The sequence below is a fragment of the Homo sapiens genome, chromosome 16 (genome assembly GCF_000001405.40).
Source record: "Homo sapiens chromosome 16, GRCh38.p14 Primary Assembly".
Classification (NCBI taxonomy): domain Eukaryota; kingdom Metazoa; phylum Chordata; class Mammalia; order Primates; family Hominidae; genus Homo; species Homo sapiens.
Window position 1 is genome coordinate 58,319,832 of NC_000016.10, and position 14,955 is coordinate 58,334,786.

Here is a 14,955-nt window from a genome sequence, read left to right on the forward strand (position 1 = left end):
CCCTGTCTCTACTGAAAATACAAAAATTAGCCAGACGTTGTGGCGCACGTCTGAAGTCCCAGCTACTCAGGAGGCTGAGGCACGAAAAACACTTGAGCCCAGGAGGCAGAGGTTGCAGTGAGCTGACATCGCACCACTGCACTTCAGCCTGGGTGACAGAGCAAGACCCTGTCTAAAAAAAAAAAAAAAATCTAGTCCTCAAGACATGAATTCCACCTTCACCACTTAAAAACAGCTACCATTAATAATCAATATGCAAAACATCTAATTATATTATTATTTAATTTTCACAATGAACAATTATTGCCATTTTACAGATGAGGAAACTGAGGCTCAGAAAAGTTAAGACCCGGGCTTTGAAGCCAGGTCTCTGCCACCCCAAGTCCTGGGCTTTTATCCACTGAATCCCATCAGTGTGATGGGATAGCTTGTGGCTCAGTGGATAAAATTGGTTCTATCCTCTGCACTGGAACAGGAGGTTCCCGAACAGAGGGGCTGTGTGTTTTATTTGCCTTTATATTCCCAAGGTCAAGCACCAGACCTGGCCCAAAAGCACAAGGATGGAGGGAGAGAGGAAAAGCAAGAGGAGGGGCGTCTTTTTCACATTTAGGGGAGGTGTCACTGGGAACTGGCACTCTTGGGCATTCTCTTTTTCATTCACCCAATGTTTATTGAGCAACTACTAGGGGCCGGACATGGCTCTAGACAGGTGCACCAAACAAAGTCCTTCCTGAGGGAGCTCATCTTCTAAAGTGCTGGGAAGAAAAATAAAGCCAGACTAGGGATGGTGTGTGTGTGCTGTTTTGGAGAGGGTGTTCAGGGGAGGAGGTTGCTAGGTGGAGAGTAGCTTGGAATGGACTACAGTGGTGGAGTGGGGACTTCAGTCTGAAAGCTCTGCAGCAATCCGAGGAGATGGTGGAGGCTCAAGCCGGGGGGTAAAAGTGGGTTTTAGTGAGAAGCGGTCAGATTCAAGATCTATTTTGAAAGTAAAACAGACAGGCCAGGAATCCAAAGCTGAACTTGGCCTATTTTTTCACCACAGTACACCTCATGGAGAGAGGAAAAGCTAGTCCCACTTAAAAATGTCTGTGATGAAACCATTAAGATTATTAATTCTATGACATCTTGACTTTGGAGTACACGATTTTTTAATATTCTGTGTGATGATATGGGAAGCCCTTCTGCAAACCAGAGGACAATATTACCTCCAGGCAGCATACTCTGTGCCTGAGCTGCCAGCCTCCCAGCCCCCTTGGTGATGGAACTTCATTTTTACTTAGAAGAATGACTGACAGACAAGCCATGGTTACTCAGACTTGGGTATTTGGTCGACATTTTCTTGAAAATAAAAGGAATGAGGCGTCACTTCAAGGAGAACAACTGAAATATTTGTTGGCAATGATAAAAGTTGCGCTTTCAAATGAAAATTAGCATTTGGGAAACTTGTATCCACCACTGTAAGTGTGGGCACTTTCCAATACTTTACATACTTTTCTGATGAGATTGGTGGTGACATTACCAAACATGAGTTTTAAATTTTGTATAACATTTGGAAAATCTGCATCACTCCACGAACTGATATTTCCCAAATGACCAAAACACAATGTGACAAAACCATGCATGAGTAAAGATCCATCGAAAGAGCAAGTGCAGGCTGGGTACAGCGGCTCATGCCTGCAATCCCAGCACGTTGGGAGGCAGAGGCGGGTGTATAACCTGAGGTCAGGAGTCCGAGACTAACCTGGCCAGCATGCCGAAATCCCGTCTCTACTAAAAATACAAAAATTAGCCAGGCATGGTGGTGCAGGCCTGTAATTCCAGGTACACAGGAGGCTGAGGCAGGAGAGTAGCTTGAGCCCGGGATGTAGAGGTTGCAGTGAGCCAAGATTGTGCCACTGCACTCCAGCCTGGGCAACAAAGTGAGACTCCGTCTCAAAAGACAAAAAAAGAAAGCAAAGCAAAATAATGGATTTTAATATAAGAGAATATGAAAAAGTCATTGATGTGGCTTCAGAGTCCACATGCAGCTAACCTATAAGATAAAGCATCAATTGTCAAGTTTCAGTATGGTCGGGCAGGGCACAGTGGCTCACGCCTATAATCCCAGCACTTTGGGAGGCTGAGATGGGCGGATCACCTGAGGTCAGGAGTTCAAGACCAGCCTGGCCAACATGGTGAAAACCTGCCTCTGCTAAAAATACAAAAATTAGCTGGTCATGGTGGTGTGCATCTGTAATCCCAGCTACTCAGGAGGCTGAGGCAGGAGAATTGGTTGAACCCAGGAGACGGAGGTTGCGGTGAGCTGAGATTGCGCCACTGCACTCCAGCCTGGGAGACAGAGCAAGACTACGTCTCAAAAAAAAAAAAAAAAAAAAAAGTTTGGGTATACTCAAGGCTATCTACAATGATCTAAAAAGGCCATTAAAATATCTGAACTTTTCCAACTACACCTATCTGTATGAGGCCAAACTTTCTTCATATATACATCAGCCTGATAGGGCTGCCCTAACAAAATACCACAGACCAGGTAGCTTAAAGAGCAGAAATTTATTTTCTCACAATTCTAGAGGGTGAAAGTCCAAGATCGGGGTATCCCAAGAGCTGGTTTCTCCTGAGACCTCCCTTGTTGGCTTCTGATGTCTGCACGCTTCTGGTGTCTCTATGTGGTCTTCACTCTATGCCAGGGTCCAAACATCCACCTCTGATAAGGACACCAGTCATAGTAGATTAGGGTCCATCCTAATATTTTCATTTTCAACTTAATTATACCTGTAAAGACCTAATGTCCAAATACAGTCACATTCTGAGGTAGTGGGGACATAATGCAGACTGTAACAATATACTTCAACTAAATAATAACATATTACAAGAGGTTAAATGTAGAGGCCGATATAAGAATTCAGTTGTCTTCTATTAAGCCAGATATTTAGAATATTGATAAAAATGTAAAGTAATGCTACACTTTGCGAAAATTTATTTGCCCAAAATATATTTTCCACAAAAAAAAGTTGTGTTAATATGTAGTTGGTTTATTATTTTTAGAAGAATTAATAAATAATGGTTTTTAAACTTTCTCAGTTTATTTTTTCCTTGAGATAGAGTCTTGCACTGTAGCCCAGGCTGGAGTGCAGTGGCTCACAGCAGCCTCCGCCTCCCAGGCTCAAGCGATCTTTTCACCTCAGCTTCCCAAGTAACTGGGGCTACAGCTCCACAACTCCACACCCAGCTATTTTTTTTTTTTTTTTGGTATATTTTGGAGAGATAGGGTCTCACTATGTTGCCCAGGCTAGCCTCGAACTCCAGTGATCTGTCTGGGATTACAAGTATGAGCCACTGTGCCCAGCCCTTTTTTTTTTTTTCTTAAGACACAGGGTCTCACTCTGTCCCCACCGAGCTACAGCACAGTGGTATAATCATAGGTCATTGCAGCCTCCACCACTGGGCTCAAGCAATCCTCCTGCCTATGCCTCCTCCTCCCAATGAGTTGGGACTACAGTTGTGAGCCTCCATATCTGGCCTCAGTTTTAATTTCTAATAGGTATTTTTTTTGGTAGATATAATCTGTATAAATAAAAGCTCTTTGGAGTTCTCAATAATTTGTATAGAGTAAAGGGGTCCTGAGACCAAGAAGAATCACTGGTTTACAGTGATGATAATTTGTGTTTAGATCTTTTATCCAAATATCCCACTAGGAGACTGACCTCAGAGCATTTGCACTTGCTCTTTGAATATCTTATTTGTCATGCCCTGTATTGTGATAAAGATGTATCTGAGGGGCCCTTATCCATCACCTTCCTTTCTTGACAGTAATTGTTGTTTTCTCAAAGACATACAGCTTCAACCCCTTTCATCTACTCTGAATACTGTCCTGAATCATCTCCTATACAGAAAATCTGGAGTGTCATCGTTCAGGTCTTAATTGAAATGTCACTTCCTGGGAGAGGCCGCCTAAAACCCATAACCCATGCCATAGATCAGAAATAAGTTCTTGGCCAGGCGCAGTGGCTCAAACCTATAATCTCAGCACCTTGGGAGGCTCAGATGGGCAGATCACCTGAGGTCAGGAATTCAAGACCAGCCTGGCCAACATGGTGAAACCCCATCTTTACTAAAAATACAAAAATTAACCAGGCGTGATGGCGGGTGCCTGTAATCCCAGCTACTTGGAAGGCTGAGGCAGGAGAATTGGTTGAACCTGGGAGGCAGAGGTTGCAGTGAGCCAAGATTGCGCCATTGCACTCCAGCCTGGGTGACAGAGCAAGACTCCATCTCAAATAAAAAGAAAGAAAGAGAGAGAGACAGAAAGGAAGGAAGGAAGGAAGGAAGGAAGGAAGGAAGGAAGGAAGGAAGGAAGGAAAGAAGGGAGGGAGGGAGGGAGGGAGGGAGGGAAAGAAAGAAAGAAGAAAGAAAGAGAAAAGAAAGAAAGAAAGAGGTTCTTATGGCACCCTGTGTTCCTCCCTCATAGCACCTACCAGGGGTATTGTAGAGTTGCTTCTGAGAGTATTAGTTCAGCCTCCCCCATTCAAAGTAGATCTATAAAGCTAGTGTCCTTGTCTCTCTTGTTCATTGCAATGTCCTCAGTTTCTAGGACATTTGTTCAAAGAATGAATGAATGAAGACGTGCATTCAACTGCCTGTGGACTAGCAGAAACTACTGGTGGAGTCAGGGGCTCTGCAGCAGTGCACACAGGCATGCAGTGTGGGAGCGTGGCTGGTGCATCGCCTGACTTCTAAGAATGCTTAATGTTTCAAACCACAGCAAACTTCTTTATAGAACCTGTTTTCCAGAGCACGTATATAACAAGATAGTGCTGTGTTGAGGAAGAAATGGGGGGCACCTAGGATCACCAAAATCTTCACTCCACCCCCAACCTCCTACCCCCACTTTTTTGCCCCTGACAGATGAGCCCATTGGAAATAAGCCAGTAAGTCTTCCTGGGACCTCCTTCAGCTCCGTCTTCTCCAGGGAAAAAGCAGGATGCAAATACAGTTTTTGGCCTTGTGTGAATTTGGAAAATGTGCAATTTAGAGAGGCCCCATGTGCATTTCATGGCAGATCCAGAAAATAAGGTTTAATGATGAGAAAAGAAGGAAATGATTGTCAAAATATGACTTCATAAGGTACAGCCCCAGGGGGCCTACTTTGGCAGTAAAGATAATTAAGCTTAGATTTCTAAAGGTCAATTTTAACCAGCTCGTGAGGTAAATGGCAACAGTAACATCATCCTAGCCCTCCGTATCTATGGCAACTGAATTTCTCAGCTGTAATTAAACATAAAGCTACAACTACTGCATTGGTCCCAGCATCAGCTGCAAATAAATATACGAGAACAAAGTAGGCAAACTTGATGCTCCCTTTTGGAATATTCTGGCCATTTACTGGGAAAACAAGCAACAGAAGCTGCTGTTAAACCTGCTGCTAATGAGGCCAGGTTGCTGGCCCACCAACCTGCCTCTGGGACCTTGTGTAAGAGGAAGACTGATCACAAATCAATTGCTTGTCATTCATATATTGGTTGTAAGCTGGAGAGCAAAGGTAGCAAAAAAAGGTGATTATTTGGATATTTGAATTATCTTTTTAAAAGTATTTTTTTCTAATCTCAAAAATGATTAAAAATGACCAGGCACAGTGGCTCACACCTGTAATCCCAATACTTTGGGAGGCCAAGGCAGGCAGATCACTTGAGGTCAGGAATTTGAGACCAGCCTGGCCAACATGATGAAACCCCGTCTCTACTAAAAAATACAAAAATTAGCCAGAAGCAGTGGCATATGCCTGTAATCCCAGCTACCTGGGCGGCTAAGGCAGGAGAACCACTTGAACCCGGACACGGAGGTTGCAGTAAGCTGAGATCACACCACTGCACTCCGGCCTGGGTGACAGAGTGAGACTCCATCTCAAAAAAAAAAAAATTTTAAAAAGAAACCAACACATATTTATTGTAGAAAATTTCTAAAATTCAGACAAATGTCAAGAGGAAAAGAAAAAGTACCTGAAGTCCCAATTAGGTTATTTGTTTCCTGTCTTTTTTCTGTACGTGTATTTCAAACAACTAGGATTAAGCATATAGTTTTGCGTCCTGTGCTTTTTTCCTATTAATAGTATGTTATGATCTTTTTTTCCATATTATTGTTCTTCAAAAGTACAGCTTTTAACAATGGCAGAAAATTTTACCATATAAATCTCCTATAAGTTATCTTTGTACTTTATCTCTTTTACTCTGCATTGTGGGATTAGTCATTTTTACAGCCCGTCAGCATGTCCTACATAGGCAATCTAGCTCCCCAATTTAGGAGGTAGAGTTCTTGGCATCTGTTGCACTGATCTCACTCCACTTCGGAGTCTCAGCTGAAGCCAAAACAAGAGTCCCATTTTAGCATCCTGTTCCATATGTAAAATTGGAGGGAATAACTAAGACAAATTAATAAAAATACAACAGTGGTGGTAGACTTTCACCCACTTGTTTCAGTCTTTGTTGGACTAAATAGAGAAAAGAAAGTAAGGATATTACAGAGGAGGAGAATATAATGACTAAATGTTCTGAACTGTATCCTTTGAAAAGAGTAGACTTCTTTTCAATTAAATGGAAAAAGGTATAACGATGTCCACTGATGAATGGGTAAACAAAATGTGGTATATACATACAATGGAGGCCAGAGTGGTGGTTCACACCTGTAATCCCAGCACTTTGGGAGGCCGAGGCGGGTGGATCACCTGAGCCTGGGAGGCAGAGGTTGCAGTGTGCCGAGCAACCTGGGTGCACTCCAGCCTGGGTGACAGAGCAAGATCCTCTCTCTAAATAAATAAATAATACACACAATGGAATATTATTCTGCCTTTAAAATAAAGAAATCCTGTTATGTGACAACATGGATGAACCTGGAGAACAGGATGCCAAGAGAAATAAGCGAATCACAGAAGGACAAATACATGATTCTACTTATATGGTGTCAAACTCATAGAAAGAAAGAATAAAATGGTGGTTGCCAGAGGCTGGAGGGAGGAGGGAATGGGGAGTTGCTAGTCAGTGGATATAAAATTTCAGTTATTCAAGAGGAAAAAGTTCTAGAGATCCTCTGTATAACAATGTAGCTATAAATAACAGTATTGTGTTGTACACTTTAAAATCTATTAAGAGGGTAGCTCTCATGTTAAGTGTTCTTGACACAATGAGATAAAATAAAAAGGAAAGCCCATTGTATATAAGAAATTGGAAATTGTACCGTCATATTCCTGATCATAATGCAAGAACGCAGGAAATAAGTTAAAAGTAGAAGCATTGGATGTCTTTTGTAGTTGGCAACAAATAAAATAAAATAAAAAGTAGATGCAGAAAGACGTTTGAGAATGTCAAGCCTTTCTATGGAACTGCTCTAGAGCAAAAATACATTTATAAGATATTTGGGAAATAATGCTAATAAAAACACTCCATATAAAAACTCATGGATAACACTAGAGCTGTACTCAGAGGAAAATGCCTACTCTTAAAACACTCTGGAAGTAAGAAAAATAAAATACAGCAGTCAGTTAAGTCTGCCCAAGAAGTAAGGATGAGGAACTTTGTTTTCCCTTTGAGAGCTGCCTGAGGTGAGGTGCTCATTTTGTTAAACTTCCCAGAGTGAAACACTTTAGCAAAACAATAAATATCACAACTCAAAGGCTTATTTGGAGCTCAACAAGTTAGACATAAGGTGTTTTGTTGGTTTTGTTAAAAAGCAGATATACTGAGATATAATTCACATCCCACCATACAATTTACCCACTTAAGGTGCAAAAATGTTTTTTACCATATTCACAGGTTGGTGCATCCATCACTATAACCAGTTTTAGAACATTTTTGTTTTATTTTTATTTTTATTTTTTTGAGACGGAGTTTCACTCTTGTTGCCTGGGCTGGAGTGCAGCGGCACGATCTCAGCTCACCACAACCTCTGCCTCCCCGGGTTCAAGTGATTCTCCTGCCTCAGCCTCCCGAGTAGCTGGGATTACAGGCATGCGCCACCACGCCTGGCTAATTTTGTATTTTTGATAGAGACGGGGTTTCTCGATGTTGGTCAGGCTGGTCTCAAACTCCTGACCTGAGGTGATCCGCCCATCTCAGCTTCCTGAAGTGCTGGGATTACAGGCGTGAGCCACCATGCCTGGCCAGAACATTTTTATTACCACTGAAAAAACTCCATCCCTTGGCCAGGTGGTGGCACACGCCTTTAATCCCAGCACTTTGGGAGGCTGAAGTGGGAGGATCACCTGAGGTAAGGAGTTTGAGACCAGCCTGGCCAATATGATGAAATCCCATCTCTACTAAAAAATACAAAAATTAGCTGGACATGCTGATGCATGCCTGTAGTCCCGGCTACTTGGGAGGCTGAGGTGGGAGGATCGCTTGAGCCCAGGAGGTGGAGGTTGCAGTCAGCCGAGATGGCACCACTGCACTCTAGCCTGGGCGACAGCAAGAGACTCTGTCTCAAAAAAAAAAAAAAGAAAAGAAAAAGAAAAAGAAAAGAAAAGAAAAGAAAAAATCCCATCTTCATTAACAGCCATTCCCCATTTCTCCCCATCCCCACCCCGCCGGCAACCACTAATCTGCTTTCTGCATCTGTGGATTTGCCTATTCTGGAAATTTTATATAAATGGAATCCTGTGGAGAGAGAGAATGGAGAATGACTGCTTAATGGGGTACAGAAATGATGAAAAAGTTCTGGAGCTAGATAGTGGGGATGGTTGCAAAACATTGAGAATGTATTTAACATGCCTAAGTCGTACACTTTAAAATGGTTAACCAGTCTGGGCAACATGGTGAAACCCTGTCTCTACAAAAAATACAAATAAATAAATAAATAATAGCCAGGCATGGTGGTCCCAGCTACTTGGGAGGCTGAGGTGAGAGGATTGCTTGAGTCCACGAGGTTGAAGCTGCAGTGAGCTGAGACTGCTCTACTGCACTCCAGGCTGGGTAATAGAATGAGACTCTGTCTCAAAAAAAAATTATTAAAAAAATCTATAATACAGTGGTCGATTTTATGTTATGGTCGATTTTATGTAATGTGTTTTTTACCATAATAATTTTTAAAATCCAGACTAAGGAAGGCTAGTATTTGTGAAGTCATTAGACAGAACCATATCTAATTTAAGAATTAGTCATGAATATTGAAGTGGATTACTTTTTGTCACATTGTACTAAGAGAAACAACAAACATTGCCAACAAAATATCACCCAAAACAACAAATATTTAAGCTTATTTAACCAAAACATGGAGGTTAGGCATTTTGTTTCTTCAAAAGCAAGGTATAATAGTTTTAACAAATCAAACATATGGAGCTAAAAAAGATGTTTTAGCTATAAATATAAAATTTTAATAGATTGTTACCTAAGTGACTATGTAAAGCTTGGAATGTCACATTATGATGCTGGCTTCACCTTGCTCTGTTTATTTACAGACTAGGAAAGAGAGAAAGATAAGCCTCCAGGTTTATCGAGCTCCTAAAAATTTCTCACTTTGGCAGCCTTAAACTATTGTGCAAGAGCAAGTGGGGTCAGGCTGTGTGACTCATGCCTATAATCCCAAGAAGCTACCAGCTTTCAGGTCCCAAATATAATAAGACTCAAAGAAATGGCATCAAATTCTAGAGCAAAATCAAGCATCTACCATGGTTGTGCTGAATATCCTTCTGTTTCCACATAAGGGAACATTAGAGTCATGGCTTGCGACTTTAAAAATAAAAGTAACCAGGCGTAGTGGCACACACCTGTAGTCCCAGCTACTCTGGAGGCTGAGGTGGGAAGCTTGCTTGAGCCCAGGAGATCAAGGCTGCAGTGAACATGATTGTGCCACTGCACTGTAGCCTGAGTGACAGAGCAAGACCCAGTCTCTATTTTTTAAAAAACCATTTAAGAAAACTGCAACCAAGCATTAATGCAGTGGTTTGTGAACTTGGAGGCACGTTAGAATCATCTAAGGGCTTTTAGAATCTTCCATGTCCTGGTCACACCCAAGACCAATTTTTTAAAAAAATTTTTATTTTATTTTAGGTTCCGGGATACATGTGCAGAACATGCAGGTTTGTTACATAGGTAAACATGTGCCATGGTGGTTTGCTGTACCTATCAACCCATTATGTAAGTATTAAGCCCAGCATGCATTAGCTATTAGTCCTGACGCTTTCCCTCCCCTGCCTCATCGACAGGCCCCAGTGTGTGTTGTTCCCCTCCCTGTGTCCATGTATTCTCATTGTTCATCTCCCACTTATGAGTGAGAATATAGAGGTGTTTGGTTTTCTGTTCCTGTGTTAGTTTGCTGAGGATGATGGCTTCCAGCTTTATCTATGTCACTGCAAAGAACATGATCTCATTGCTTTTTATGGCTACATAGTATTCCATGCTGTATATGTACCACATTTTCTTTATCCAGTCTATCATTGATGGGCATTTGGGTTGGTTCCAAGTCTTTGCTATTGTGAATAGGGCTGCAATAAACATACATGTGCATGTATCTTTATAATATAATGATTTATATTCCTTTGGGTATATACCCAAATATATACCCCGTAATGGGATTGCTGGGTCAAATATTTCTGGTTCTAGATCCTTGAGGAATTGCCACACTGCCATCCACAGTTGTTGAATTAATTTACATTCCCACCAACAGGGTAAAAGCGTTCCTATTTCTCTGCAGTTTCGCCAGCATCTGTTGTTTCTTGACTTTTTAATAATTGCCTTTCTGACTACACCAGACCAATTGACTCAGACATTGGGTGTGAGACCCAGGCATCAGTATGGCTTTAAAGCCCCCCAGGTGAGTCCAATGTGCAGAGGCTGGCTGTCATGGCAAGAGATGCTTGACAATTAAGAAATTGGGAACACCTGGCCGGAGGCAGTGGCTCACGCCTGTAATCCCAGCACTTTGGGAGGCCGAGGCGGGCAGATCACCTGAGGTCGGGAGTTCAAGGCCAGCCTGACCAACATGGAGAAACCCTATCTCTACTAAAAATACAAAATTAGCCAGGCGTCATGGCACATGCCTGTAATCCCAGCTACTCGGGAAGCAGAGGCAGGAGAATCCCTTGAACCTGGGAGGTGGAGGTTGTGGTGAGCTGAGATCATGCCATTGCACTCCAGCCTGGGCAACAAGAGTGAAACTCTGTTTCAAAAAAAAAAAAAAGAAAAGAAATTGGGAACACCTTCTATCTGCCAGCGGTAAAGCTACTCAATTTTGCAGAAATAAACATGTAAGAGAAATCAAAGTCCTGCTCCCAAAAGAACGTTTCAGAAGTTGTTTTGAAAGCTCTGGGCAAGCTACATGGATGAAAGAAATGCTACAAGGGACTTGTGAACCTCGCTTCCATTCAATCACTCATTCATTCATTCATTCATTTATTCATTCACCGATTCACTCGCAAAGTCATTTATCACTGTTATTTATTCCTTCACTCAGTCAGTCATTCACGCAACATTTCTTAGGCTCCCCTCTGTGCCAAGTCCTGGAGAAACTGAAATAGAAGGAAGGATGGTGCCCCCCCTGAGAAAGCTTGTGATCTGGGATGACGGTGAGGGGTAACAGATGGTGGCAATTGAGTTCAGGGTGCTCAGGAAGAAGCCTGTCCTGGGTGTGATGAAGTGTGGGGGGAAGGGGTGTGTCACCCCGCTGAGTGGTGAGGCGGTGGAGGAGGGGGCTCCCTTGAAAACAACTTTCTAGGGAGAGGACACCTGAATAAGACCTGAGAAAGGAGCAGGTGTGAGCCCATCTGCAACAAATCCCCTGTGAGTGTGGCTCTCAGCCTGGCTGCCCCTGGGAGATTCCTTCCTGTCTGGCTCCACCCCCAGAGACTCAGGTTTCACGGGGCTACAGTGGGGCTCGGGCATTCGCATGCTTTTAAAATATCATGATTTTTTTAAATTGAAGTGAAATTCACATAGCATAAAATTTTTAAATTGAAGTGAAATTCACATAGCATAAAATTTTTAAATTGAAGTGAAATTCACATAGCATAAAATTCACCATTTTAAAGTGGACAATGCAGTGGCATTCAGCACATTCACACAACCACCCCCTCTACTTGGTTTCAAAACATTTTTATCATCCCCAAAATAAGACCCTGTGTACCCATTAAACAACCACTGCCCATTCCACCTTCCCCCAATCCCTGGTGACCACAAATCTGCTTTCTCTCGTTATGGATTTATTTATTTATTTTATTTTATTTATTTGTTTATTTATTTATTTATTTTTGAGACAGAGTCTTACTCTGTCTCCCAAGCTGGAGTGCAGTGGTGCGATCTCGGCTCACTGCAGGCTCCGCCTCCTGGGTTCACGCCATTCTCCTGCCTCAGCCTCCCGAGTAGCTGGGATTACAGGCATCCAACACCACGCCCGGCTAATTTTTTGTATTTTTAGTAGAGATGGGGTTTCACCGTGTTAGCCAGGATGGTCTTGATCTCCTGACCTCGTGATCCACCCGCCTTGGCCTCCCAAAGTACTAGGATTACAGGCGTGAGCCACCGCGCCTTGTCCTCTCTTTATGGATTTAACTACTCTGGATATTTCATAGAAAAGGAATCATACAAAATGTGACCTTTTCCATAGCTTCTTTCACTTGGCTTAATGCTCCACGGTTCCACCGTGTTGCAGCATGAGTCAGCCTTCGTTCCTTTTTACAGCTGAATAGTATTGGGTGCACCACAATTTTTTATTCATTCATTTGTTGATGGACATTGGGGTTATTTCCGCCTTTTGTGGCTATTGTGAGTAGTGCTACTATGAACGTGAGTGTACACATGTTTGTTTGGTATCTGTTTTCCATTATCACTTGAAGTATATACTGGGAATCTATAGTTTTCTTGGTTTTGTTTGTTTGTTTGTTTTTGAGACAGAGTCTCGCTCTGTTGCCCAGGCTGGAGTGCAGTGGTGCGATCTCCACTCATTGCAACCTCCACCTCCCCGGTGCCAGTGATTCTCCTGCCTTAGCCTCCTGAGCAGCTGAGCCTGCAGGCACACACCACCATGCCCGGCTATTTTTGTAGTTTTAGTAGAGACAGGTATCTTGCCATGTTGTGCAGACTGGTCTCGAACTCCTGACCTCAAGTGATCTGCCTGACTCGGCCTCCCAGAGTGCTGGGATTACAGGCGTGAACCACAGCACCCGGCTGCATCTGTGTTTTTTAAAGCTCCCCTAATGATTCTAAAATGCAGCCAAGGCTGTGAAGCACTCAGTCCAAGCAATGTCCCCACCCTGTGGCTCTGGTTTGAGAAATTAGGTTCCTGGGTCATGGCTCTGGAGAGTCTGATTTAGTGGACTCAGGGGTCTGTCTCTCCTGGAATCTCTCTCTTCCCTGATTGACAGGTCAGCCTACCTATCAGCCCACAGGAGAGCCTTGGTCAATGTCCCTTTGTGAAGGCCAAGAATAGCCCCTTTCCCTCCAGAGAGAGGTCCCTCCCTCCCAGCTCAGGGCCCCTGGCGCCCCTGCCTGGTTCCACTCCCCCATTCTTCCTACTTGGGTCAGCCTCTGCTCCTGATCCGCGGGCCAGACTTGGGCACCCAAATCCCCCAAGAACAAATGACCCTGTTTAGAGACAGGGCAGCCTGAATGGATCTTTAAGACCTAGTGCCATCTAACCCTATAAGGACACAGTCTGGCTAAAGATGCCTCCACCATTCTTGTGGCGCGACAGGATATCTTGGTCCAAAGCATTGGTATTCTGGTTATAAGCCACGACACAGTTGTCACCAAGAACCTTTTATATTTGTGTGACTAACGGGCCTATCCTGTAGATTTTCCTCCAAGCAAAGGAAGCTGCTTCAAAAGTGATCCCTTGGGCGGGCATGGTGGCTCATGCCTGTAACCCCAACACTTTGGGAGGCCGAGGTGGGCAGATCACTGAGGTCAGGAGTTTGAGACCAGCCTGGCCAACATGACAAAACCCCGTCTCTACTAAAAATACAAAAATTAGCCAGGCGTTATGGCACATGCTACTCAGGAGGCTGAGGAAGGAGAATCGCTTGAACCTGGGAGGCGGAGGTTGCAGTGAGCAGAGATCATGCCGCTGCACTCCAGCCTGGGTGACAGAGCAAGACTCCGTCTCAAAAAAAAAAAAAAAAAAAAAAAAGGAAAAAAAAAAGAGAAACGATCCCTTAACCTCCAGAAACAGAGCTATGCCAACAATTTTCAAATAGCCCTTCTCAGCCTCAGAAAAATTAGAGCCCACAGAGCACTGGTTATTTAGATAAACCAAAATGGTATAGACTCTGGCACCAGTGTCAAATTCAAGGACATCGAGGGGCCTCTATGAGTGTACAAACTTACCTGGTGTGACCTCTCCAGGAGTGAGGTAGCCACTTCCCTCACTTAAGAACTAGAAAACCGGGACGAAGCAGACTTGTTTGCCTGAGTAGGAAAGGTCAAAGTGGCTATAAAAAGCTTGCACAATAAAAGGCAAAACTTCTGGAAATACTCTTGTGACAACCAAGTCCCATTCTACAAGTCAGGGAACAAAGCCAGTTTAATATATTTAATCCGGGCAGGCATGGTGGCTCATGTCTGTAGTCCCAGCACTTTGGGAGGCCAAGGCAGAAGGATCGCATGAGCTCAGGAGTTCAAGACCAGCCTGGGAAAAATAGTGAGAACCCCATCTCTACAAAAGGAATTTTTAAAATAGCCAGGCGTAGGCCAGGCATGGTGGCTCACACCTGTAATCCCAGCAATTTGGAGGCTGAGGCAGACAGATCACTTGAGGCCAGGAGTTCGAGACCAGCCTGGCCAACACAGTGAAACCCCATTTCCACTAAAATTACAAAAAATTAGCCAGGTGCGGTGGTGCATGCCTGTAGTCCTAGCTACTCGGGAGGTCGAGGCAGGAGAATCACTTGAACCTGGGAGGCAGAGGTTGCAGTGAGCCAAAGGTTGTGGTGCACTAAGACCGTGCCACTGCACTCCAGCCTGGGTGACAGAGACTCCGTCT

The 14,955-nt window shown here is 43.5% G+C and overlaps 1 annotated feature.

Annotated features, from left to right (window-relative positions):
- Positions 12,526-13,027: an enhancer, noted in NCBI's record as "H3K27ac hESC enhancer chr16:58366261-58366762 (GRCh37/hg19 assembly coordinates)". NCBI's record gives its function as "activates a minimal SCP1, AML or CMV promoter by ChIP-STARR-seq in naive H9 embryonic stem cells {active_cell/tissue: H9 hESC(naive)}" and the evidence as "EXISTENCE:reporter gene assay evidence [ECO:0000049][PMID:30033119]".